Here is a 27,254-nt window from a genome sequence, read left to right as displayed (position 1 = left end):
AGAAATTCTCATCCCATGTCTAGTTAGGCATGCTGTGTTCTTCATTTGTGTCCAAAAGTGATGATAGGAATAATTCACCAAAATAAGCCATGTGAAGTTCCTCAAAAAGTTAAACAGAACTACGATTTGATTCAGCAATTCAACTCCTAGGCATATACCAAAAAGAAATAAAAGGTAAAAACAACCAAAGTGTCCATCCCCTGCTGGCTTTAGGGAATGGGAAACAGGGAGTAACTGCTAATGGGTATAGGGTTTCCTTTGGGGGTTATGAAAATGTTCTAAAATTGATTGTGGTCATGGTAGCACAACTCTGTGAATATTCTAAATACCAGGCCGCATGGCGGGGTCATGGCTGTAATCTCAGCACTTTAGGAGGAAAAGGTGAGATTGCTTCAGCCCAGGAGTGTAAGACCAGCCTGGGCAACACAGCGGGAGACCCATCTCTACAAAAAATTAAGAAATTAGCTGGGCATGGTGGCACACACCTGTAATCCCAGCTATTGAGGAGGCTAGGGTGGGAGGCCTGAGCCCAGGAAATTGAGCCCATGTTCATGCCTCTGCCCTCCAGCCTGGGCAACAGAGCAAAACCTTGTCTCAAAAAAAAAAAAAAAAAAATCACTGAATTGCACACTTTGCATTGGTGAATTCTATGGCATGTTAATTGTGTCTGAATAACACAGTTATGAAATATACACATACATAGTATATCATGGCACTCTCTCTCTCAAAGGCAAGGAAAGATAGAAAGAACCTCAAACTCAGCTCTATTCCAGCTCCCCATGTGGACCCAAGTGGGTCATCTCAAATCTCTGGTCTCAAGTTATTCCTCTAAAAAGTGAGGGAGCTGGATTTTAGGATCTCAAGGGCTCCTTCTGGCTGTAACATCTCGAGTCTGTGACACAATCCTGAATTACCTGATATGGACCTCGGTTTTACTACTAGCACTTTTGAGATTCTTCTCAATAATTTCAGCAAATCTGGTTGGCGTCATCTCATTGGCTGGCGTCTCCATCAATTGGCGTGCCAAGTTCTGCCCAGAAGCAAACAGGACTCCTTTCTGCCAGGCCTCCTGATCCCCACTGGCAGAAGAAAGATAAAGTGACTGTCAAACAACCTCTCAAGAACGCTGACTGCCTGCCAACTAAGAGACACTCTTACCTTACAGAAAACAAAAGAGGAAGACTACAAATCAAAAACAATTGGCACACAGGACCTGGATTCATTTTTTGTGATCTGACCCAGGGCAGCAGATGGTATGGTGCAGAAAGCTAGAAAACATGGCCACACAAAGCAGAACCAGAGGGTATCCGGTCAGGCACTTCCCTTCAGAATCCTCATCTACATGAAAAAGGGCCTGTGCTGTGGGGTCTTTGAAGCTCTAAATCTACCACATAAATGAAGAGAAGAGGCTTCCACAGAAAAGCCCGTTTTGTTCTCCTTCACTGTATCAGGAATGCTGCAGCCCCAAGTGCTAACTGCAAAGCAAGCGTATGGCAATGGCTCTAACGTGGCAACTGAAGACCTTTTTGCTTTCTTTTACCTAAGTCGGGGCTCCAAATTCCAACCCATTCGTAAGCAGGACCAGCTTTAGAAGAGAAAGGATACAGGCACGTGTTTCACAACCCTGGCTCTTCCTATGGCAGCACAGAGGTGGGTGAGTAACAGTAGATGGCCTAGAAGGCCTGCCACATGCCCCCTACTTGATGTGCTCTTTTGGATGATGATACAAACCCCATGAAATCGGTATTACAACTCTAGTAAACAAATGCAGAAAATGAAGCACAGAGATTTCAGCCACGTAACCAGCAAGGTCCCCCAACGAGTAAGTGGTGAAGCCAGGACTTAAGCCCATGCTGACTGGCTGCAGAGCCCGCACTCTCCCCCACTCCCCACAGCTGCCAACCCTTGGCCAGTGCCAGGGCCCCCACTGTGCTTGGCACCATCTGCTGAAGGTCTCATCTTATTTATTCCTGATGGCAGGGACCCCACTAGCCCACAAGGGCAAGGACCAAGCATCCAGAGGATCTCTTCATCTGTGTGGTGCTTGCATTTAGCACAAGGCCAGCAGGTGCCAGGTAAATGAATGAACATTATCTGGGTTGAAACCTGTGGGATATGTCTGTCATGTCATTCCTCCCTCTCAGGTAAGAGCTACCTGGTTATGGCTTCCTTGTAATCAGAGCAGGGAGGGGTCAGGGAGTCATGGGGGAATCAGACATATGCCGAGAGCCAGGAGCAGAGCTTGGGCTTAATTTTGACCACATTATTAAAATGGCTGAGGCAATGGGGAGGTCACAGCCAAGCCACGCAGCTGTGGGTGGCGCTGAAAAGCAGGCAGCTCATATCCCAAAAGCCAGGCTGTCAGAACGCCAGGGAGCACCACCCTCCTCCTAATTTGCTTCCATCACCTTCCATAGAGCTTTGCCGACACAGCCATCTTCTTTTTTTGCTTTAGGTCATCGTATTCATAGAGACCAAGCACCGCTCCCTCCGCAGCAGCCTGAGCGTCTCCACAGGGATCCACCTCCACAGACGAGAGCTCCAGGTCTTGAATCTGCCTGCACCCCGCTTGAAAAGACAGAGGAATCAGAAAACTGGAGTCAGTCCAAGACAACTCAAAGAGCAGACAGCAGAGGCATGATGTGATGTGCTGAGAAAACAGCCCTGGGGTTCAAATCCCAGCCCTGATACCCGAATGTTCTGAGCCTCATTTCCTCTTCTGTAAAATGAAGACGTGAGTGCATTTTACAGCAAGTACCTCACTCCCAGGTGGTGGTGAGGACAGGCTGATGGAGAGAATGAATAGCTCCTCCCAGAGCCGTACAGGCTCTCAGGAAGTGGCAATTATTCCTAGGATTATTTCTGAAACACTATGATTTCCTGATGAAGCTTCCCAATTGCCAAGAGCTTCTCTGATTAAAAATGACAGGGAAATGATGACGCTGAAATTATATCCAAAGAACTGAGCAAAGTCCATTATTAACACAGCATTTTATTAAGATCAGGTCAGCAAAAACTCTCAAAAGTTATTAAATAACCACTTCAATGATATTTGAAGTAAAGTTAATGAGCATTTATAATATACACAGGCCTAAATAGTAATCAAGCCAATTATCACTGTTTCAGAAATGTTTTACAAAGCATCTTTAATCATGGCTCTTGACGGTATTAGGCCCGTCCTGCTGCTTAATGCTAAGTGACTCAATGGCCCCTGCCTGGGACATACTGGGACAGGCACACACCTTTGGCTAGTGATAAACAAGCACGCCACGCTTTGCTTCCTTAGTCTCTTTATTTGTAAAATCTGATGACTCTGTGTTATTTAAAAGTCGGGAGGCATCAGGGTGGCATTACAAAAAATCTATACACTACAGGTTCTGGGAAAACACAGCTCTAATATGACAAGAGCGAACAAATGGTAGTAAAACACCCAAATGAGATATAGATATATTAAAAATAAAATTCCATTAGCTAACCTTCTGTATTTATCATAAGGCCAACCATATTCAGCAAGAGGAACTGAATTTTTGTTAAGATGAATTATTTCTGTGTGAACGTGGTAAGGGGTGGCAACTGGTAAAAGGACAAAAAGGGGAAAGAGAGGTCATCAAAAAGAGTGGATCCTCAGGATTCTTTAAACTTAAAAAGTGAAATAACCTGCAACAGCAGCTCTGATGTTTTCTTTGCCTTCATGCCAGTTTTCCTGTTCGTCGATTCCAGCTGCCTTTTTGCCGAGGCCAACTAGCACCACGCTGGGGAAGTCCTGTCCCACAGATACACCAAATCAACCACTTTATTTCTTTCAAGCATTCATTTCCAGCAAGGAATTCTACATGTGGAGACTCACTGAGCTCCCACACAATTACTTTAACTGCAGCAACAGGGCTAAACGCACGGTGAAATTTGGTTGTGGCTTTTTTTTCTTAAAACCTTTGTGTCCTGGCAAAATTGTATAACTTATAGGTTTGAGAGGCAGAGTAAGTGAGGATACTCTTGCAAATAATTCTGTGTAAGCCAGAGCCACAACCGGATAAAGAAAGCCTTCAGATTGAGGAATATAAGATAGGCAGTAGTTTTTGACAGCAAATCGCCTCTTAATCTTAAATGTTCTGCTTAATAGTGGAATAAAATCATACAATCCAACACATAATGTTTAGTATGACTAGACAGCCCCAATACTTGGTGTACAGTAGATGCTCATTGAGGGTTTACCAAATGATCACGTTCTTCTCATACCTGATGCAGACCATAAAAGGTTCGAGTCTTCCCTGCCTTCAGAGGTGGTCCAGATCTAAAACAAGAGGAAATAGTCGTTTTAAAACAAGTATTTTGCTCGGTTCACTTGGGAAGGCACACTTACATACTCGGCATTATCACACTATTCTGCTAACTGCTTCCATGGTCTTTTTCACTTATGTTTTTATCCAAATACAGAATGCTCTCAAGCCAGATTTCTTTCTTTTTTTTTTTTTTAAATAGAGACAGGGTCTCACTCTGTTGCCTAGGCTGGTCTCAAACTCCTATGCTCAAGCAATCCTCCCACCTCAGCCTCCCGAGGTGCTAGGATTACAGGTGTAATACAGATTACACTGCTGATCTACCGTGCCCAGCCCAGATTTCTTAGGTGTAGCCTTTCTAATTCTAGCTCAAAAACTATTTAACAAACTTTCAGATTAGATCTAACACAAACATATTTAAAAACAATGGAAAGCAATGCTACAGCTGCACAAGGCATCTGAGCACGGATTGACGCTGAACCGAATGAATCTCAAACCTTTTTCAATAAAAGCCACAAGACACCAAAAACACTGCAGTAATCTAAGTGGTGGTTGGCTTGGAGGTTGTATATCTATGTGGTTTCTCCACAGACTGGATACCCGAACCGGATACTGACTATCCTGGGCAATTTCCAAACAAAACAGATCCATGACTATAAGAGGCCCGTAGCACAGATGCTCTGGAATGCAGCTGACAGCCATCCATTAGCAAGGCAGGCGTTCTGTACTCACAGGTTAGCTTTTGGATTAATGAATTAATCAATGCACTTGAGAATGCTCTGTGTACTACAAGAACTGATAAAAAATTGAGAGGAGATACAAATTCTCTTAACCGATTATTAGTTACTATAATTATTAGACTGCATCTATTAGGTTCCAATAGGCTATCTATAATCCGAATAATACATAGTTGCAGTGGTTTACATGGATACTTCCATGTCTGCCAAATACAGCATGCAGTTACAATGTTTCCCTACCATCAGGATCTCCAGCCCCATGGAGACTTTTTGTATTTTAACTATATCCTCAGGTGATTCACAGATATTTTAAATTTTGAGAAGCCCTTGAAACTTCAGGCAGGCAATAAAAGAGCAAAACCCTTAGGCTGCTATTAACTATCCTAGGGATCCTGCTCTCACAAGAAAAGGGGAGTTAAAAGAAGTAGAGAGGCTGGTGGGAAGGCAGCTGGGAGGAAGAGGGTGGGGAAAGTGAATTTGAGCCAGGAGGGTGGGCTGAGGAAATCTGGTACTTTCCAGATTATTCTGGATCAGTCTTTCACAATAGATTTCTGATTGGGCTGGAAATGGCCTGACTTCCCAGAACTGCAGACCCATCCATACTGAAACAGAAAGTACCAAAGTGCATTCCAAAGACACAGGCTTTCACTTCTGCTTCTGGCCAGAGCACTTCCCGGCATTGTCTCTTCTGACAAAAAGGCATAGAAAAATATTCTTGGCCTGGCACAGTGGCTCACACCTGTAATCCCAGCACTTTGGGAGGCCAAGGCAGGCAGATCACTTGAGGCCAGGGATTCAACACCAGCCTGGCCAACAACAGTGAAACCCAACTCTACTGAAAAAAAAAAAAAATACATATATATATATATATGAAAGCCGGGAGTGGTGAGGCATGCCTGTGATCCCAGATACTTGGGTGTCTGAGGCACGAGAACCACCTGAACCCAGGAGGCAGAGGTTGAAGTGAGTCAAGATCGTGCCACTGCACTCCAGCCTGGGCAACAGAGCAAGACTCTGTTTCAAAAAAGAAAAGAAAGAAAAAATACTGTTTCGATTTGGGGGCACTTTAAGAACTAGAGCCCACAAGCAACACTTACATGTTCAAAGTCTCTCTCAGCTTTCCAGCTAACAATTTATCAAAATTCTCTCCTGCACTTGTGAACTGTGGCACATCATCTTCTTTTTCTTTGGAATAGATTCCTAAAACAAGGCCCTGGGAATAAGCAAAAAACGTAAATATAATAGAATTAGAGTAGATCCCTTAGAGAGGCTCAGGAGTCCCCAAATTCCAGAAGGAACAAATAATTCCACCCAAACCGTGTCCTCCCCATGGACAGAAGAAAGCAAAAAAAGAAGCAGGTGCTGGGGTCAGCTACATGTGCACCTGCCCAAGTGTTTCAGATTCCTGCCAAAGCAAGACCCATCACTGCCCGTCCTGGACATTGCCCTGGGTTTCTGTGCTCACTCCTAGGAGACGGCTTCACTTTCAAATAAAGCAGAAAGATGTTTTGTTTAAGAAAAATCTATTTGTCACCAAGATAGACCCTGAAAGGATTCAGAACATGCCACTCCAAAATATACCGCTTTGGCACATTAGTTATTTTCAGCCAAAGGCGCTTGAGAAACAGCAGGTGCAGAGGTACTCTCTGACCTCCCTTTCTCCCTAAAAGCAGGTCACACAAATTCCCATGAGAAAGGTGATCTCCCTGTACCAGGAAAAGGAGAACATTCTTATCACCAGAAACTGGAAGTCAACACCAAAATGGACCTGTACAAATAAACCTACTGAACTCACCCTTATCTTCTGTTAGTTACCCCCATATGATTTCCTAGTCATTATTCCACAATTTACTAACCCAAGCCCCTTTGTCTTGTCACACCCCCACAATGCATTGTTCTTTGTTTAAAAAGGTATACAAGCTTTTGGGCCCAACGCTTCTTCAGGTCTTCATTTTCCTCTTGCAGACTCCTGTGTACACGTAAAAATAGTAAATAAAATCTGTATCCTTTTCTCTTGTTAATACATCTTATGTCAGTTTTCTTAGGCCCAGCCACAGAACCTAGGAGGATAGAGGGAAGATTTTCCTCCCCTACAATCCTCAAGTGCAAATCCCAGATATTCTAGGATGCCGTTCCAGTCAAGCCAATGGCTGTGCCTCCCATCGTAAGGACTGTTGCCACGTAAGGACTGTGGTCAACACAGAGGCTGTAAGAGAAGTACCAACTTCCTAGGGAGGGTAGAAGCACTCTGCTAAGCACTTAGCGGCTCACTCCCTTCATCTCCTTCACAAGTCTCAGGTCTCAAATACCAGAAATGAGGAAGCAAACCTAGTAATACTTAGTATTTACTTTTGCACGGCAATTTATGACTTTAAAAATGTTTTGTCTGCCTCATGGCAACTCTGTGAGGTGGAAAGAACAAGTAGCCTTATCCCCCTTGACCGATAAGGAAACTGAAACCTAGTTTGAGACAGGAGCTCCTGTGTGGTGTGGTAGGACTGAGTGAGAATCCAGATGTCTTCCCGCCCAGCAGTTGATCTTTCCACAAAACCACACAGACACTTAGAATAGTGCCCTCTCGGTCTTTTCCACCAAAGAAAACGGCCTTCCTTGGCATTGGTAACTCTGCCAGGTTCTAACTTCCCTAAGATTGTTCACTCCCCGGGAATCAATGGAGCCAACTGAGCAACTGTTATCTGGGTAGGCTGTGGCACAGTACTGGAGATAGCACTGGTCAGGCGACTGGTCCCTCCACCACTGAGATACCTGCAGGAGACTGGAGCTCAAGCTCCCCCTAGAACGTTCTTCTGCAGGGACAGTCATCTCTTTCTGGTGCTTAGGCATGACTCCCAAGCTTGTGCTGGTTCCGAGAGCCATTCCCTTTGCAGATCCTTCACATCTGAAGAGCGACCTTCGTAATTTTTTGGAGTTCACTTTTCTTCTGGAAGATGCTCTTAATTCTGGGAAACGTGGGTCTCTCCCCAAAGCCCTTTTCTCTAGAGAGGCATGCTTTTCCTCTAGAAACCCTTCCAAGCTACTTAACTCCCTGACCTTTCACTTCCGCGGGGGAAGGAGCCCTGTGACTCTGGGACCTCAGAAACCCTTTCACCTTGGCAAACTCGGGCTTCCTCCAAGCTCGGATGGGAGCCCCACCGCCGCGTCTTTCCCCGGGTTACTGCCAGGACCGCGGGTGACGACTGGAGCAAGTGCGCGGCCGAGTGGAGCCGGGTAAAGGGCGGCTACAACCATCACCCCCTAGCCCCGAGCAGGGGAATCGCGCCCTCAATACGACCGCTGGGGTCCTCAGCGGCCTAGGCCGATCCCCGCAAGGAGAGAATTTTTCTTTTAAACTGATTTTTGCAACTTGGCTTGGGCGCCCAGGACACCGCGGCTTCGACCAGCCCCGCAGCCCCAGTAGCCCACGGGCAGGGCCCCAGCGGCGGACCATGAGCGAGCCGCCGCCTCTCACCTTCGTCATGTCTGCGGTGGAGAGACTCCGGCTCCCGAAACGTCTCACGGCCAGACGTCGGACGACTACTCGCCCCGCAGCCGGAAGAGGCAGCAAGAACATCTTGTCGGCTCGGCCCCTCGCACCGCCCTCCAGCGAGCACGTGGAGAGCGGTGGGCGGGCGCGCCTTGGGGCGGGGCTTTCGGGGCGCAGACGGCGTGCGCGCGGACTGGCTCGGGCGCCGGGCGAGCGGACGTGCGTCTAGGGGGCGGGACGGATGGGCAGCACCGGCCGACTGGACCGCTGGGATCAAACCGCGGTTGTGGAGGGGACTCAAGGGTGCGCCCGCATTCGTGTGCGCCCGCATTCGTGTGCGCCCGCATTCGTGTGCGCCCGCGCATGCGGGCGGGGGCGAAAAGGCGGGGCTTCCGGACGCGGTTGACAGTCCCGGGAGCAACGCGAAGTAGAGGGGCGGGACCGATATGGTGACGTCACACGATGGGTGGGGCGGAGGCGGGGCGAGTTCTGCAAGCGGGCGTGGGCGGAGCGCTGGGCAACTCCCGGGAAATAGAAACTGAGTGCCAGAGCTTGTTGTCAAGGTTGCTGAATAGACGACTGCATAGTGAAGACACTCCCACTGAGTTTTCGTTTGTTTGTTTGGTTTTTTTGAGTCGGAGTCTCGCTCTGTCACCCAGGTTGGAGTGCAATGGAGCGATCTCGGCTCACTGCAACCTCCCGCTGCTTAGTTGAAACGATTCTCCTGCCTCGTCCTCCCGAGTAGCTGGGATTAGGGGCGCCCGCCACCACGCCCAGCTAATCTTTGTGTTTTTTTGTTGTTTTTTTGGATTTTTTTTTTGAGGCGGAGTCTCGCTCTTGTAGCCCTGGCTGGAGTGCAGTGGCGCAATCTCGGCTCACTGCAACCTCCGCCTTTCGGGTTCAACAGATTCTCCTGCCTCAGCCTCCCGAGTAGTTGGGACTACAGGCGCCCACCACCACACCTGGCTAATCTTTGTATTTTTAGTAGAGACAGTGTTTGGCCATGTTAGCCAGGCTGGCTTTGAACTCCTGACCTCTGGTGATACACCCGCCTCAGCCTGCCAAAGTGCTGGGATTACTTACAGGCGTGAGCCACCGTGCCCGGCAACTCTTTGTATTTTTAGTAGAGACGAGGTTTCACCATGTTGTCCAGGCTGGTCTCGAAGTCCTGACCTCGTGATCCACTTGCCTCGGCCTCGCTAAGTGCTGGGATTACAGGCGTGAGCCACCGCACCTGGCCTGAGTTATTTTTATTCGTGTCCTTTCATCTGTTCCACAGGTGCAACGGTGTAAATACTGTTTTTGAAAATGATGTAACACTATTAGGTTCGTTGACTCGTGCACATAGCAAGTCAATACGCCCAGACACCAGGGTTGCAGCAGAGAAAGAGGTGTAATCGTGGAGTCGCCAAAGGAGGAGATGGGAGGAAACCTCAAATCCATCTCCCTGAGGAATTTGGGGTCAAGGTTTTTAAGGGTTTTGGAGAGGGCTATAGTGTGGAGATCGTTGATTGAAGAGTGCAGGGTGAAGTCATGGGACAGGGCGTTGAAGAACCTGTATTCTTAAGCTGACCCCATTCCTCTCTGGGGATCTTCAAACTGGTAGCTGGAATTCAAGGTCTGAAAAATATCTTAAGCGATCCTTAAACAGAAAGCTTATGATTCTAATGTCAGAGATCCTGTCTATAGGAACAATGGGAATGCAAATGGTCAGTATGTAGTGCTAGGTGACTTTTAGCAACAAGGAAGTGGGCCAAAGTACAGCCTGATTAATGCTTAATTATAACTATATTTCTGCCTAGAACTTGGCATGAAATTTTTGTCAACACAGTGGGGATGGTTTCAATAGAAAGTTTTCAAGTAGTGCTCAATATTTTTATATATTTTTATTTTCTGTAAAGCGTTTTGTTTTTTTTAATTCCTTATTTTTTACTTTTTTTTTTTTAACGGAGTCTTGCTCTGTCACCCAGGCTGGAGTGCACTGGTGTGATCTCAGCTTATTGCAACCTCCACCCCTGGGTTCCAGCGATTCTCCTGCCTCAGCCTCCCAAGTAGTTGGGATTACAGGCGCCCGCCAACACGCCTGGCTAATTTTTGTATTTTCAGTAGAGATGGAGTTTCACCATGTTGGCCAGGTGGGTCTTGAAGTACTGACCTCAAGTGATCCACCCGCCCTGGCCTCCCAAATTGCTGGGATTACGGGCGTGAACCACCGCGCCCGGCTGGTTTTAAATTTCTCATTGTAAAAAAGTACACAGCTGAATGCAACTCGGAGAATATGGGTAAGCACGAGGAGGGATACAAAAATTGTTCTTAATAATGACACCAGCCAGCTGGGTGCAGTGACTCATGCTTATAATCCCAGGACTTTGGGAGGCCGAGGTGGGAGGATCGACTCAGCCCAGGAGTTCAAGACCACCCTGGGCAAGGTAGTGAGATACCCATCTCTACAAAAAGTTAAAAAATTAGCCAGATGTGTGCCTGTAGTCCCGCTAATGGGGAGACTGAGGTAGGAGGTTTGCTTGAGCCTGGGAGGTTGAGTCTGCAGTGAGCCATAATTGTACTACTACACTCCAGCTTAGGTCACAGAGCAAGACCCCATCTCTTTTTAAAAAAATTACACCACTGTTGATCTGATTGCAATTTTAGCTGAGGTGCAGGGGTGTGGGGAGGCTTACACCAGCTGCAGTGAGCAAAGTCTTCACCTTGAGCTCAGTTGCAGGAAAGAAAGAATGTCTATTTCACTCTCCAAGAGCTAGACACTCCAGAGGAGAGATTTGATCTTCCTCTCTTGAAGGCTGAGTGGGTTGGACTGGTAGGTCCACTCTGGCTTCCACCTTCTCTAGATAGTTAAAATGGAGTTGCATCATAAACTCAATAAACTCACCAAATTTTATCTATATTTGCTCCAAAGACAGCGAAATCTTTACATTCACTTTACAGCTCTTCCCTCCTTCCAACGTGATAGATCAGGCCGCAGTTTCTGAAACTAAAAAATGGAATGCGAAAACCTGTCCCCTCCTTGGTATGTGAGTAGAGGGTCTCTGAGCTTCAGAGGCATCCAAGCCTCAGAGCTGTAGGTTACCCTTGTCTGTATCTGCTCAGCTGAATTTATTACCTGTTTTATTGACTTGCGGGTCCAGCCTGAGACTCTGGTGTATCATTTACTTTTCTCTTTGCTTCAAGGACCACACCATTTACATTTTCACATGCCTAATGGTACAAAAGAAAAGTACATTTCACAGTCTACAAATAATCAGGATTGTGGATCACTTTGGGATGAAAGATTTAGTCATCCTTCAAACCCTAAGTTTACAAGGTGCTTAAGATGTTTTTCTGTTAGAAATCATGGGATAAAAAAGAATCTAAAACAGTGTCCCTGTCTTCAAGGATTTTATTATTGTAGAGGGGGCAAAACTTAACCTCTACCATCTTAGGGTCTCCAGCTGGGCCTGAGAATTAAGTTGACATAAGACAGATTAACGAGAAAAACATATTAATTGGCTGGGCACAGTGGCTCACACCTGTAATCCCAGCTCTTTGGGAGGCCAAGGCAGGTGGATCGCTTGAGCCCAGGAGTTCGAGACCAGCCTGGGCAACATGGCAAAACCCTGTCTGTACAAAAAATACAAAAAAAACAGCCATATGTGGTGGTGCATGCTTGTAGTGCCAGCTGCTCGGGAGACTGAGGTAGGAGGATCACTTGAACCTGGGAGATTGAGGCTTCAGTGAGGCATGATTGTGCCAGTGCACTCCAGCCTGGGTAACAGAATGAGACCCTGTCTCAAAAAATAATAATAATCATATATATATATATATATACACACACACACACACACACACACACACATATAAATTTTATTTAATAGTTTTGCACGTACTTGGAAGCCCTTACAGGAAAATCGAGACCCCCCAAAATGGTTAGGCCTAAGTGCTCATATACTAGGTTGAACAAAAATAGTAATTTTGAAAAAGTATATTTATATGGGAAAACTAAAGGAAATAAAGGTTAGTCTAACAAGAGTTGTTTGTACAGATTTCTCTCGGCCTTGACTCTCCCTCTTTGGTGATAATGTTCCTTTCTTTCTGGTGCAGGGAGGGCAGCATTCACATGAGAGCTGATCTCCTGCTTTCAGGAAGTAAAGAGAGGCCAGAGTACCCTTCTTGCATCTGCTGTATTTTAAGTGCCTTTAGCTCAAAAAAATCTTTATGTCAAAGTTTTATATTCTGCTGTCCTCTATTATCTAGTAGAGGCAAGAGATATGGTGATTGTAAAAATATTGTTATAAAAAAAGAAAAGGCAGTGTTTCACAGAGTTATATGTGCATATGCTCCTGTTCCTTCTGCTCCCTTCTTTGCTTGACCAATGCCACTTCTTCCAAGAAATACTTGCTGACCTTCCCTGTCTGGGTTATGTGCCCTCCCTCTGCTCCCAAAGCGACCTGTCTCAAAGTGCCAATCACCTGTATTCTTGCAACTGTTCAATGGGTTCTCCTTGCCCGCTGCCTAAACAGAGCCAATTTATCAAGACAAGGAATTTGCAACAGAAAAAGAGTTTAATTCACACAGAGCTGGCTGTATGGAAAACCACAGTTTTATTATTACTCAAGTCAATCTCCATGAAAATTTGGGGTTCAGAGTTTTTAAGGATAATTTGGTGGGTAGTGGGTCAGAAAGTGAGAAGCGCTGAGCTGGGTGCCGTGGCTGATGCCTGTAATCCTAGCACTTTGGGAGGCCAAGGCGGGCGGATCACCTGAGGTCAGGAGTTCAAGACCAGCCTGGTTCAATATGGTGAAACCCTGTCTGTACTAAAAATACAAAAATTGCCAGGCGCAGTGGCTCACGCCTGTAATCCCGGCACTTTGGGAGGCCGAGGCAGGTGGATCACGAGGTCAGAAGATCAAGACTATCCTGGCTAACACGGTGAAACCCCGTCTCTACTAAAAGTACAAAAAAAAAATTAGCTGGGCGTGGTGGCAGGCGCCTGTAGTCCCAGCTACTCGGGGAGGCTGAGGCAGGACAATGACATGAACCCAGGAGGCGGAGCTTGCAGTAAGCCGAGATTGCGCCACTGCACTCCAGCCTGGGCAACAGAGCGAGACTCCATCTCAAAACAAACAAAAAAAATAAAAAAATTAGTGGGCTGTGGTGGTGCACGCCTGTAATCCCAGCTACTGGGGGAGCTGAGGCAGGAGAATTCGCCTGAACCCGGGAGGCGGAGATTGCAGTGAGCCGAGATTGCACCGCTGCACTCCAGCCTGGGCAACAGAGTGAGACTCTATCTCAAAAAAAAAAAAAAAAAGAAAGAAAGAAAGCAGCAGCAGCAGCAGCAGCAAGATGGAATCAGCTAGGGCAGCAAGATGGAATCAGTTATGTCAGATCTCTTTTGCTGTTATAATTTTATTTTTCTTTATTTTTTTTCTTTTTTTTTGAGATAGAGTGTCACTCTTGTCGCCCAGGCTGCAGTGCAGTGGCGCGATCTTGGCTCACTGCAGCCTCCACCTCCCAGATTCAAGTGCTTCTCCTGCCTCAGCCTCCCCCAGGTAGCTGGACTACAGGCATGTGCCACCACGCCCGGCTAATTTTCTGTATTTTTAGTAGAGACAGGGTTTCACCATGTTAGCCAGGATGATCTCGATCTCCTGACTTCGTGATCCGCCTGCCTTGGCCTCCCAACGTGCTGGGATTACAGGCGTCAGCCACCGCTCCCGGCCTGCTGTCATAATATTCTTAGTTATAGTATTTGCAAAGGTGGTTTCATTCTCATTGTCTTTTTCCCCCCACTCATCTAGGGAGCCATGCCTTTTTCATCTCTGCATAGCCAGTGCCTAGATCTAGCATTTAGACTGTCCCTGGAACGAATGCAAGGTGCTCATAATATGTTTGAATGAATTCATGATCAAGGTCTAGTGCAGGTAGCATCTATAATTAAAGAACAGAATAGGTGCTATGTGTGGCTTTCAGATAGTAGAAGCAAAAACAAAAAGAAAGCTTGAAAGGAGCCAGCAGAATGAGAATGCTATAGATGATTGAGGGGACGTCTGGGTCAGGAGAATGTGTGGGAGGGCGTTGGCTTGGCTTGGGGTGGAGAGATCAGGCCTGCCTGGAATAAGAGGTGGTTATACAAAGACAGTGATGCTGGATTAAAGGGAATCTTGAAAGGCAGGAAGAGATGTTTATTGTGGTTGTGGGAGTCAATAGACACTCTTTGCAGAAGCTGGTGGGGTGGTGAAAGCTATATTTTACTATGATTGGTAGACGCTGGAGTCAAGGGTGGAGAAAGACTGAGCAGTGTTGGGAAGAGTGGTGCCTTAGTGAAAACCAATGCATCATCCAGAGAAACCCTTTTTTTAGAGACAGGATCTGGCTCTATTGCCCAGGCTGGAGTGCAGTGGCACAATCATAGCTCACTGTAAACTTGAACTCTTGGGCTCAAGTGATCCTCCCACCTGAGCCTCCCGAGTAGCTGAGACTACAGGCTTCTGCCACTAGGCCTGGCTTTTGTTTGTTTGTTTGTTTGCTTGCTTTTAGTAGAGATGGGGCCTCTCTATGTTGCCCAGGCTGGTCTCGAATTCCTGGGCTGAAGTGATCCTCACACCACAGCCTTCCAAAGCACTGGGATTACAAGTGCACACCACCATGCCCGGCCCAGAGAAACTGTTGAGGGAATTCCTTTGGGTTATCTTATTAAGATTCTATGGAAGCTTTTTCACAACTCTGTAAATTGCAGACAGTTATGAGATGCAGTCAACTCTTGTCTATAGATATGTAAGTGCTATGTGCTATCCTGTCCGATTGATGGGCATTCAGTTGGCAGCCCATCATCCCATGTGGCAAAACCAGTTTTATCTCCATTTGCACATTCATTTCAATATTCCTGATCTATAAATATATCCTTTTTTTTTTCTTTTTTGAGACAGGGTCTTGCTCTTTGCCCAGGCTGGAGTACAGTGGCATGATCTCAGCTCACTGCATCCTTGACCTCCCCAGCTCAAGCAGTCTTCTCACCTCAGCCTCCTGAGTAGCTGGGACTACAGGCGCATGCTGCCACGCCCAGCTAATTTCTGTATTTTTTTGTAGAAATGGGGTTCCACCATGTTATAGGAGTTATTAAGAAATTATTTTCTGCAGATAGAGAGGAAAAGGGGTCCTTGGGAAGTTTTTGGTTCTTTTAAAGCAGCTCCAGAAATATTTCTTTTCTAGCAGGAAAGCCCTGGCTCTTAGAGCCAGCTGGCAAGCTTTGATATGCACAGGAAGGCCATGAGAAACTGGGTCCACCCAAACTTGGCGATTCCCGCCATCTTTTTCTTGCCCTTGTGCTCACATGTGCCTGACAACAGGGCCACCCCCACATATCCCCAAGTGTGTAGAACATCATGGCACTCTACATTTGCATATTAAAAGGCTAGGATAGGAGGGCCAGTTTTTCCACGAACTATGTGATGACACACCTGGTCAAACCAATCTCCTGGGCCCAGTGGAAACCAGACACTGCCTCCTCCAGCATCCCAATATAAGCAGCCACTTTTCCGCAGCACACGGGGTTTTCTCTTTGTTTGAATCCCCCCTCCCTCTGTCTCTGTTCAGGGGAGCTGTTTTCTTCTTCCTTCCTTCCTTCGTTCTTGCCTTTTTGCTCCTTAAAACCACTCCACGTGTGTCCCTGTTGTTAATCCTATAGGCGTGAGACCAAGAACCGTGGTGTCCCTCTAGTCATCGGAGTCATATCAACCACATTGCCCAGGCTGGTCTCAAATTCCTGAGCTCAAGCAATCCTCCTACCTCTGCCTCCCAAAGTATTGGGATTACAGGCATGAGCCACCACACCCGGCACACATATCCAATCTTAAAATTCTGTTTTGAGCCAGATATAACGATTTTCTGGTTTCTTCATGAGTTACATAAAATCTTTAATATGTGTTCATATTTATATCTCTCCTTCTTTTTTTTTTTTTTTGTGTGTGTGTGTGTGTGTGTGGTGGAGTCTCACTCTGTCACCCAGGCTGGAGTGCAGTGGTGCGATCTCGGCTCACTGCAAACTTCACCTCCTGGGTTCAAGTGGTTCTCCTGCCTTCGCATCCTGAGTAGCTGGGATTACAGGTGTCTGCCACCATTCCTGGCTAATACTTGTATTTTCAGTAGAGACGTGGTTTCACCATGTTGGCCAGGCTGGTCTCGAACTCCTGGGCTCAATTGATCCTCCCGCCTTGGCCTGGCAAAGTACTGGGATTTAAGGTGTGAGCCACCATGCCCAGACCCATTTTTATATCTCTTTGAGAGTCATGGTTTTACCTTTTTTTGAAACTTATCTTGGAACAGCAGATAAGCTAGCTGAAGGCATGAATTTCTGATGGAACTTGCTAGATGACCCCATTTGGGAAATGAAATGCAGAATCAGGGGATACAGGTTTATGAGTGTGACAGAACATAAACCAGTGCCTTGTTCAGGGCCCTAAATGCTCCCTTCCTGCTTAGGAAGAGAGAAGCTGTGAAGGCAAGTTATTTGGGCGATGATGGGGAATTTAATGATAAATGTTGACTTGGAAGTAACGGGACAAGCAGATTAAAAAAAAAAAAAAGTCCAGCAGGAGCTTGAGATGAAGATACCAACATTCACTGGGAGAGTTCAACAGTCAGGAGACGGGCCAGGTGTGGTGGCTCATGCCTGTAATCCCAGCACTTTGGGAGGCCGAGGCGGGTGGATAACCTGAGGTCAGGAGTTTGAGGCCAGCCTGACCAAAATGGAGAAACCCCGTCTCTACTAAAAATACAAAAAATTAGCTGGGTGTGGTGGTGTGTGCCTGTAATCCCAGTTACTCGCTGCCCAGTCACTTAGGCTGGAGTGCAGTGGCATGATCATGCTTCTACTGCAGCATTGACCTCCCAGGCTCAAGCAATCTTCCTGCCTCAGCCTCCCAAGTAGCTGGGACTACCAGCGTGCACCACCACACCTGGCTAATTTTTGCATTTTTTTTTTGAGAGACGGGGTCTCAGCATGTTGCCCAGTGTGGTCTTGGGACTCCTGAGTTCAAGCAATTCACCCACCTCAGCCTCCCAAAGTGCTGAGATTGCAGGCATGAGCCACCATGCCCAGCTAGAAGTTCTTAATTTTAATATGGTCCAATGCATTAATTTTTTACTGTTATGTAGCTTTTTGTACACCGTTTAAGAATTTCTTAAACAAGGCCAGGTGAGGTGGCTCAAGCATGCAATCCCAACACGTTGGGAGGCCGAGTTGGGTGGATCACCTGAGGTCAGGAGTTCGAGACCAGCCTGGCCAACATGGTGAAACTCCGTCTCTACTAAAAATACAAAAAATTAGCCAGGCATAGTGGCAGGTGCCTGAATCGCAGCTACTCAGGAGGCTGAAGCAGGAGAATCACTTGAACTCGGGAGGTGGAGGTTACAGTGAGCTGAGATCACGCCACTGCACTCCAGCCTGGGTGACAGGGAGTCTCTGTCTCAAAAAAGAAAAGAAAAAAAAAAGGCCAGGCACAGTGGCTCACGCCTGTAATCCCAGCACTTTGGGAGGCCAAGGAGGGCGGATCACGAGGTCAGGAGATCGAGACCATCCTGGCTAACACAGTGAAACCCCGTCTCTACTAAAATACAAAAAATTAGCCGGGCGTGGTGGCGGGCGCCTGTAGTCTCAGCTACTCGGGAGGCTGAGGCGGGAGAATGGTGTGAACCTGGGAGGCAGAGCTTGCAGTGAGCTGAGATGGCGCCACTGCACTCCAGCCTGGGTGACAGAGCGAGACTCCGTCTCAAAAAAAAAAGAAAAAAGAAAAGAAAAAGAAAAAGAAATTCTTAAACAGAGGCTTAAGCTTATTGGCTGGAAGAGACAGCCAAAGATGATACCGTGGCTCCACAAAGTTATCAGAGGCTCGGGCTTCTTTCTCTCTGCTCTACCATATTTAGTGTTGAGCAAGTGGCACTATTGCCTATGTGAAAGTAGATAATTCAAACTTAAAGCTGTTTGAATTTTAAATTATTCTGAGCCTTGAGAGGAATGTGGCTATGTGGCCTTAGTCACATGGCATTTAGCTGCATCTTCTGCATTTTTTTCCCTGTAAGTAATTAGGAAGAACAAGCGGGACCAGAGAGAAGACACCCTCAGATCATTATCATTCCTAAGGGGTTAACACAGTAATCTTTCTTGCCATGTAGCAATCTGTAACCAAATCACTGTAACAAATCATTGTAGCAAATCATTATAACATATGTGCTGGTCTTGTATCAAAAATGTAATCCTGCTGAAACTTCTCTGTCTGCCTATGTAAGTGAAACCTTAACTTCTCCACTTTGGAATGCTGACCCTATTCGTTTGGAGTCTGTGTTTCCCAGGTGGCTATCCTCAAGATTTGCATTCAAATAAGCTCTATATTCAGTCATATTTTCTGAATCTCATTATCTACGGTTGACACCTATTATCAGGAGCAGAAGTTCAAGTGCAGTCAAGAATGGGACGGAACAATGATTTACTCACATACAGAAGAGACAGAGCAGAAGCAGTTTCAATAGTCAGAGTTGGTCTCCCATGGCCAATGGGTCCCCCTGCAGCAGACACAGGGCAATTGGCCTCCTTGCACCTCTCTTGTGCTGTAGCAGCATGACCCTTTGACACACACCCCTGCCCCGACTACCTACACCCACCCCCACCACCACAGAGTCTGAAACACTGAGAGCTGGGGAGCGTGTCTGAAGGTCGTTGATGCACACACTGAACACCTTGAGCCTGAAACAGGGAAAGGTTTTCCCGCACAAAGCAACAAGCCTGGCCCAGGCTGTGTGGGCTCTTAGTAAAGACATGTTCCGGGCCCATGGCCAATTCTTATGTGGCCATGTCCACGGAGGAGGGGGTATAAAAAGACTTCATACCTGAGTCTTCCTTTCCCAACGGTCCACCCCTGACCCTCACTTAGCCACTGAAACAGCAGATAAAGCACATCAAATCCAGTAGGATCATTGCCCACCCTAAATCTAGAGGGAGAAATGGGTTTAGTGGTGTGAACCACTGATATGGATGCAGTCTGTTTGTAGAGACTCCTTGTCATTTCGAGGCAGCCCTTCATCAGGGTGACTAGGAGAACCAGACCCATAGGACGATCAGTCCTTGGAGGATGGTCCTCAACCAGGAGCCCCCAAGGGCCAGGATTGAGTGTGCTAAAGAGGTGAAAGAATGAGTCTTGGTGGCACTGCGTGTGCATAGCTGACCAGCACCCCGCTTCAGCAGGAATCTTCTCTAGCTCACTTTCTACCTTGCCTAAATTATTGATTTATACCCAGCAAGAGGTGTTGGCAGTCATGCAAATGCCATCCCATTTTGCCAGCAGATAATTGAGAACTTTCGTTGTCCATCACCACCTTGGCTAGTGAGTTTAATGCATCCCGCTGGTCCTTAATAGCACAGGCAGTAGCATTCGCTATCTCCACACAGTCAATGACAAGATGTGTATCATCTTTATCCAGGACCTGTGTGCCTATACTGTGTATGAGGACATGGGCAGCAGAGTGGAACCAGGCATGTTTGTTTTCCTGGCAAATTGACTCAGGCAACCCTGTGATGTGCCAGAAGTATGTGGCCCTTCCAATTTGGAGTGTCATCTTGCACAAACACTGAAGGACCCCAAATTCTCAAACAACATTCCCCATCTAAGGAGGACAGGCACTCTGCAAGCTACTACACCCCACAGAGGAATATGTAACCCAAGAGAGCACATATTTAACTCTGGCCAAGAAGCAGTTTTTCTAAGAGTCTCTAGTCCAATTGTACAAAATGTGTGTCTGGTTTAACCATGGTTCAGGTGGCAGGATACCACTGGATTGTGGCCAGGCTGGCAGACAGGTTCACCCTAAGGGTGTGGATGGTGCAGCGATGCTGAGTGAGGTTTCCTGGGTTCATGCTACCAGGAGCTAGCCAAGAACTGGATTCCCATGGTAGGCATGTAGGGGTGCCGTGGGCATGGTGGGGCTGCTGTAGGTCTGACTGGCAACTGATTCTGGACTGGGTGCATTATGTTAATGACAAGTTTAAGGAGGGTGATTAATTAAAGCAACCCTCCACAAACCCGTCTGATGTCTGGTGGTGTGGCTCCCACTGATGGCCACTGGGACCCCTGTCACATTTGCAATAGGCCACATGTGAACTATTAATCTGGAGGGATAGGCTCACAATACTCAAGCAGAAGACCTGGCAACGCTTCCAGTCTTTCACTGCTGCTACTGCTGGGATGATCTTCGCTGATACGTTCTCAATCCATGTACTGTGAAGAAACAAGAGGAGGAAAGATCTGGAACAGACTAAGCCCTCAGGATGGACACCAAGAAAAGTCACACTGCAACTTAGGACTTTTCATGTTTCTGAAAACAGCTGGGATGTTTTAGTGAGCATAGAATTAAACCTAACTCTGAAATCTATTTTTAAAAAAGAAAGTCAGGTAGGGTGTGGTGGCTCATGCCTGTAATTCCAGCACTTTGGGAGGCCGAGGCAGGCAGATCACTTGAGGTCAGGAGTTCAAGACCAGCCTGGCAAACATGGTGAAACCCCTGTCTCTACTAAAAATACAAAAATTAGCTGGGCAATGTGGTGTGTGCCTGTAATCCCAGCTCCTTGGGAGGCTGAGGCACGAGAACCGCTTGAACCCGGGAGGCAGAGGTGGCAGCGAGCTGAGATTGTGCCACTGCACTCCAGCTTGGGCGACAGAGTGAAACTGTGTTTCAAAAAATAAAAAAATAAAAATAAAGTCCACCTCTTATTTTATACCTATGGTTAAGGTAAGCTTCGTTCATGGGGTATATTATGTATTCTGTGTATCTGAACCCAGACTGAGGGTGGCACTGTCTGATCAGAACCCACTGATGGCCACTGGGACCCCTGTCACATTTGCAATAGGCCACATGTGAACTATTAATCTGGAGGAATAGGCTCACAATACTCAAGTGGAAGACCTGGCAACGCTTCCGGTCTTTCACTGCTGCTACTGCTGGGATGATCTTCGCTGATATGTTCTCAATCCATGTACTGTGAAGAAACAAGAGGAGGAAAGATTAGGCACCCACTTCTCACGCTTCCTGTGGTCGGAGGTGCTCTTTTCTATTACTTGGAGTATCAGCTGCCCAGATATGACAACCCAGGCTGTCTGTTCCAGTACTGAGGCTACTACCTCTCAGGGCACCCATTGCCCTTGTTGCTTGAGCCAGACCTTTTGGCCTTATTCATCCAGTCCAGGAGGGAAGGTCATGTCCTGTACAAACTTGACATGTTCAGCAGCATCACCCACATGAATGGAAGAATTAGATTCCCCTAGAGCCACTAGAGGTACCCTAGCACCTTTGTACTCCTTGGTCCCATCCTGTAGCCCTGTGGGATTCCCATAAAAGGAAGGCATCCAGGGAAACATCAGCTCCAGATTAGAGTCAGGAGGCCCTGTGTGAGTACTATGGTGGCCCAGACTGCAAACCATCCCCAAGATGTGTGCTCTAAAAAAAAAACAAAACAAAACAAAACAAAACAAAAAAACCCCACAACTGTTGGATATACTGAGATTGAGATATCACAGGCACAGCCTAAGCAGGTAAGCAGGCAGTTCCCTGGTCCACCTCGACTCCCACCAAACTCAGTATTTTCCAATACGTGCTGCAGTGTCATGTTTCTGTTGTGCTAGAATGGAGTGTTCACTGTCTACATTGCCCTAGTGAGACAGGGGTGCCACACCATTCGCAGGCCATGTGTCCTTTCATCAGTGACGGTGTGAGTGGGATGTTCCACTGTTCAATGGCTCCATGTTCCTGTGGATGATAGGGTGCATGGAAAGTCCATCATATTCCATGGAAGTCAGTGGCACACACCTGTAATCCCAGCTACTTGGGAGGCTGAGGCAGGAGAATCGCTTTAACCCAGGAGGTGGAGGTCGCAGTGAGCCAAGATTGTGCCATTGCACTCCAGCCTGGGTGACAAGAGCGAAACTCCATTTCAAAATAAGAAAGGGTCCACCAATTGTTGTGTTGCTTGGACAGTGAAAGAGGTTCCTTGGTCAAGTGAAGTCTTTTGGGGTATCCAAAAACGTAAGTTCTTTTCAAGGGCACCTATGGTAGCTATAGCATCCATAGGACAGACTAGAATGGCAACACCATAGCCTGAGTAGGTGTCAATGGCAGTGAGGCACCAATGAGGCCCATGGCTAGGGGTCAAGGGTCCAGTGAGGTCAACCTATCAGACCTAGGTGTATCCTAGTCCTCAGTTTATGTGCCCTAATTTTCCTCTTGAAACAATTTAGGCCCATTGGCAAGAATCACAAGATTGTACTGCATCCTTAGTCTCATCTTTCAGGATCGTCCCTCAGGCCTTGGCCCATTCTTGTATCTGTGGTGGACTTCCATGTCTAGTGGGTTGATGTATCAAGCAGGCGGTTGTCACTCTTAGGGCATAAGCTTGATAGGCATGAGTTTCATTCGTGATCCATCTCAAAAGGCCCTTTTCCATGAGCATCCACGAGTGACATATATTCATCCTTCCCAGTCAGCAAGCTGCTTCCATAGTTCTTGTCCCCACATGGGGGATCTCTCAATAGTCCAGTCATTCAGCTGCCATTCCCGAGTCACATGGCTAGACTCTTGGCAACAGCCCATGAGTCAGTGAAAAGTAGCAAGGTATAGCAGTAGGTGTGGCCTGCATGGTCGTCACCACTGCACAGTTTGGCCCATTGGGGAGAACATTCATATCCAGTCTAAGTCAAAAGATGACCATCTGCTGGCCACATGGTAGCCACAAGCCAGGGGACCCCACTTGCTTTGTTTCGAAGACTTATCAGTAAACCATGTCATACCATTGGCAGGTACATCTTTGAATCTTGGACCCCAGGTCGCCACTGGAGGGGCAAAGCATACACAGTGGGTCTCTTCTTCCCTTTTGCTAAGCTGACTGTTTATGGAGGCTTTTAGTTCCCGTGGTCCGGACTGGACCTAATCTTGGATGTTCTGTTTCCATTTGCTGATTAAGCTCTATTGATCCTGTCCAATTTTATTGATAGGATTCATAAACACACAAGTGAGAATGGGTAGTTTAGGTCATAGCATCACATGCAGCACTCCAGCCATAAGATGCTCAGTCTCCACCAGTGCCCAATAGCAAGCAAGGAGCTGCTGTTTGAAAAGGGTGTATCTGGCGGCTGCCTCAGGCAACTTATGTGTCCAAGATTGGAGAGGCTGGTGTCCTCTAGTGGCAGTTTCCTGCTGCCACAGACTCCAATTGGCATGTATGGATTTTTGGGTTACTAGCAGTTCCATGGGGCCAGCAGGCTCCAAAGGTTGCAAAGGCAGTATTTGGTCCATGTCTTATTGAACAACTTCCAAGGCTACTGCTGCAAAGGGCCCTGTTTCAACTGGCCTCATCCTTAACTGCGCCATTTGGCCAGAGACATTTGGGTCTATATTGTCCCTTTATCGAACAGATGTGCCAGCCAGGCTGCGTGAGACTTCCCTGGCATTCGTCCATATTTGTCCTTCAATTTTTATGTTTCATTCTCAGAGAAGGACCTCATTTCCACAGTTCTGTTTTCAGCAATGCCATTGGTGGTTCTGTGTTGAGTGCAACCAGATCTTATTTGAGGTCTGCAAGTGACTGGGATAGGTAAAACTCTCTGCACTAGGGGCTCCTCCAACTTCCCTCTGACATTGTCTGTGGCCCCTGGGATACCATGGGAATATCACTCTGTGATCAGAGGGAGGCCAGCCTCCCCGCCCCTCTACACCCCAGAGAGTCAGCAACACCCTGGGGCAATGTGGCTGACAAGCCCTTGCATTTCTACCCCATCATGATGCGTCTCATAGAGACTTGCTCACTGAGCCAAACTGTCAAGCAAGTGGCATCTGTTGCCTATTATCAGGAACAGAAGTCCTAGCCCTTCCGCCCACTGCATCCTGGTGTCTGAGTCACCAAGGAGAGCACAACACAGTTGAGTCCTGGATGGAACAGTGCTTTACTCACACAGAGAAGAGACAGAAAAATCAGCTTCAATAGTGAATGTCGGTCTCCCATGACCAGTGAGTCCCCTCACAGCAGACACACCCCCCTGCACCTGTTTCATGCTGCAGCAGAAGGACCCTGTCTCCTCCCTGCCCCTATGGGGTCTAAAACACTGATAGCCAGGGGCATACCTGAGGGCCATTAACACACCTGCTTAAACAGAACAAAGGAGCACACATTGAGCCTGAAACAGGGAAAGGCATTCCCACACAAGGTGACAAGCCGGGCCCAGGCTGTGTGGGCTCTTTATCTCTTTTTTTTCTTGAGGCGAGTTTCGCTCTTGTTGCACAGGCTGGAGTGAAATGGTGCAATCTTGGCTCACCGCAACCTCCACCTCCCGGGTTCGAGCAATTCTCCTGCCTCAGTCTCCCGAGTTCCTGGGATTACAGGCATGCACCACCACGCCGGACTTATTTTGTATTTTTAGTAGAGATGGCGTTTCTCCATGTTGGTCAGGCTGGTCTCAGACTCCTGACCTCAGATGATACACCTGCCGTGGCCTCCCAAATTGCTGGGATTACAGGCGTGAGCCACTGCACCTGGCCAGGCTCTGTATCTTTTCTTTTATCTCTTAGGAAATGCTCCAGGCAATTTTTTTTTTTTTTTTTGAGACACGGAGTCTTGCTCTGTTGCCCAGGCTGGATTACAGTGGCACGATCTTGGCTCACTGAAACCTCCACCTCCTGGGTTCAAGTGATTCTCCGGCCTCAGCCTCCCAAGTAGCTGCAATTACAGGCATGCGCCATCATGCCTGGCTAATTTTTGTATTTTTAGTAGAGATGGGGCTTTGCCATGTTGGCCAAGCTTGTTCCGAACCCCTGACCTCAGGTGATCCACCTGCCTTGACTTCCCAAAGTGCTAGGATTACAGGCGTGAGCCATGGTGCTGGCCCCAGGCTCATTCTTATGTGGCTAAGGAGGGGGTCAAAGGGCTGTGTGAATGAGGCTGCCTTTCCCAACATTCGGTGTATAGTTTCCATCCTCAAGGTCTGTGGTTGCTGCAGTGTCAGCTAGGCAGGAGGAAGGGGAAAGACCAATGGCACCCACCTAGTTGAGTCACTCCCTTTCAAGGACACTTTTCAACAACTTCCACCTACATTCCACTGGCCAGCCCTGTCTGGAAGGAGGGCTGCTATCCTGAATGAAATCTGGGTTCTAAAACTGGCAAAGAAAGAAAGTCTCGGCTAGGTGCAGTGGCTCATGCCCGTAATCCCAGCACTTTGGGAGGCCGAGGTGGGAGGATCACCTGAGCCCAGGAGTTCAAGGATGCAGTGAGCTATGATTGCATCACTGAACTCCAGCATGGGCAACGAGAGCAAGGCTTTGTCTAGGATGTGGGGGACAGTGGTAGGAGGACAGAGAGAGAGAGAGTGTGTGTGGATATTGTCTAGGCAACAAGCAATTTCTGCCTATGTAGTAATTACTACTCATCTCACAGGTCCAAGCACAAATTTAGTTCCCCAAAGAAACATTTTCTTGACGTCTGCACCTAGATCAGGTCCTCTGCGTCTATGATTTTTAACCTCTCAATTTTTTTTTCCACAGGGCTTATTGCCATGCCAATTAAATCATTCTTATGGCTCTTCCAATACCCTGTGGCCCATGAGGACAGGAACGCTGTCTATCTTATTCACCATTGTATTTCTAGTGCCTCCTATTGCCACTGGCACATAGTAGGTGCTCAACAAATATTTGTTGAATGAATGACCAAAAGGGTTTGCATTTAGTACCTGGCATTTTGCTATAAGGAAGGGGTCAGAAACCAATGTTTCAGGCCTTTCCATCATCCTGCCGCCTGTAGAATGCAGATGTAGTAGAATGCAGATGTAGTAGAATGTAGATGCAGTGGATGGAGCTTCCGGAGCCATCTTGGGCTGTGAAGACAAAGCCACACCCTAGGGATGGTGGAGTAGACAGGGGAGGGAGCCTGGGTCCATAGTGGCTTCATGGACATTCTATACAAGTCCAGGACAGCAAGTCCACACTTCTTTAATGGGAATGTGTTAAGTCCTGGTGCATTTCAGTCACTGTTGATTTCAGCTGGCTGTCACATGTTGCCAAATCTAACCTTCATAAATTAGTGAGGTTCAGAGGTACAAAGTATCTTCCCCAAGGCCAAGCTACAGTTCTCAGAGCAGGGATTTGGACCCTGGCCTGTTGAACCCTAGGGTCTCTACCTTTAACCCTTAAGTTGCAGAACTTCCAGAAATCTCAGAAAAAAACTGTGTTGACATTAAAGCAGCAAATAGAACTTTGCACTTGTCATGAGCAGTAGGGATTACTCACTGGACTTTTCCACACCACTTCATAGCAAGGCTCAGAAAGAACCATTGTTCACATTCTTTTTTATTTAAATAAAGCTTTGAACAACATGAGGTTCTGCCTATGCCTACATTAAAGCGGCTTGACCATCAACTACTTGATGGTCTTTCTTTCCATCATGTTACTATTAGAGCCAAATACGATTGCTTCTCGGCCTTTTAACTAAGATCAAGTGTAGAGCAAAGTACAGTGTCTGGCTCAATGCATGTTTAATCAGTGAATGATAGATTTCATTGAAACAAATGGAGGGCTTCTTCAGCTCTAACCCATTAGTCAATGGAAAAGCAACATAAGCAAATACAATTACCTAACCATGTTTGTTTTCTAATAACTGTCTGTATTTTGAATTTCAGTCTTGCACTAGAATATTAGTTCTTTTCCCCAGGGGGAGAAATTCTAAACTCTATCCAAAGC

At 47.0% G+C, this 27,254-nt stretch overlaps 1 protein-coding gene across 1 annotated transcript in view, besides 4 other annotated features; it reads right to left on the bottom strand.

Annotated features, from left to right (window-relative positions):
- The window catches only part of LAP3 (leucine aminopeptidase 3), a 30,773-nt gene extending 21,920 nt beyond the window's left edge, over positions 1 to 8,853 (bottom strand). The window contains exons 1-6 of the mRNA NM_015907.3: positions 8,484 to 8,853; positions 6,112 to 6,227; positions 4,237 to 4,291; positions 3,658 to 3,763; positions 2,409 to 2,568; positions 915 to 1,079 (exon numbers count right to left, since the gene is read on the bottom strand). Of these exons, the coding sequence (NP_056991.2) occupies positions 915 to 1,079; positions 2,409 to 2,568; positions 3,658 to 3,763; positions 4,237 to 4,291; positions 6,112 to 6,227; positions 8,484 to 8,585 (704 nt within the window). The 5' untranslated portion in view covers positions 8,586 to 8,853. The remainder of the gene's footprint in view (positions 1 to 914; positions 1,080 to 2,408; positions 2,569 to 3,657; positions 3,764 to 4,236; positions 4,292 to 6,111; positions 6,228 to 8,483) is intronic.
- Positions 1,951 to 3,150: an enhancer, noted in NCBI's record as "CDK7 strongly-dependent group 2 enhancer chr4:17584524-17585723 (GRCh37/hg19 assembly coordinates)". NCBI's record gives its function as "activates an origin of replication core promoter dependent on BRD2, BRD4, P300/CBP, MED14 and CDK7 cofactors, with strong dependence on CDK7, by STARR-seq in HCT116 cells {active_cell/tissue: HCT116}" and the evidence as "EXISTENCE:reporter gene assay evidence [ECO:0000049][PMID:35650434]".
- Positions 8,306 to 8,505: an enhancer, noted in NCBI's record as "active region_21351". NCBI's record gives its function as "activates an Ori minimal core promoter by ATAC-STARR-seq in GM12878 lymphoblastoid cells {active_cell/tissue: GM12878}" and the evidence as "EXISTENCE:reporter gene assay evidence [ECO:0000049][PMID:35858748]".
- Positions 8,576 to 8,785: a silencer, noted in NCBI's record as "silent region_15311". NCBI's record gives its function as "represses an Ori minimal core promoter by ATAC-STARR-seq in GM12878 lymphoblastoid cells {active_cell/tissue: GM12878}" and the evidence as "EXISTENCE:reporter gene assay evidence [ECO:0000049][PMID:35858748]".
- Positions 8,846 to 9,205: an enhancer, noted in NCBI's record as "active region_21350". NCBI's record gives its function as "activates an Ori minimal core promoter by ATAC-STARR-seq in GM12878 lymphoblastoid cells {active_cell/tissue: GM12878}" and the evidence as "EXISTENCE:reporter gene assay evidence [ECO:0000049][PMID:35858748]".

Source organism: Homo sapiens, chromosome 4 (genome assembly GCF_000001405.40).
Source record: "Homo sapiens chromosome 4, GRCh38.p14 Primary Assembly".
Lineage (NCBI taxonomy): Eukaryota > Metazoa > Chordata > Mammalia > Primates > Hominidae > Homo > Homo sapiens.
Note: the sequence above shows the minus strand (reverse complement) of the source record. Positions and strands in the feature narration are given on the sequence as shown.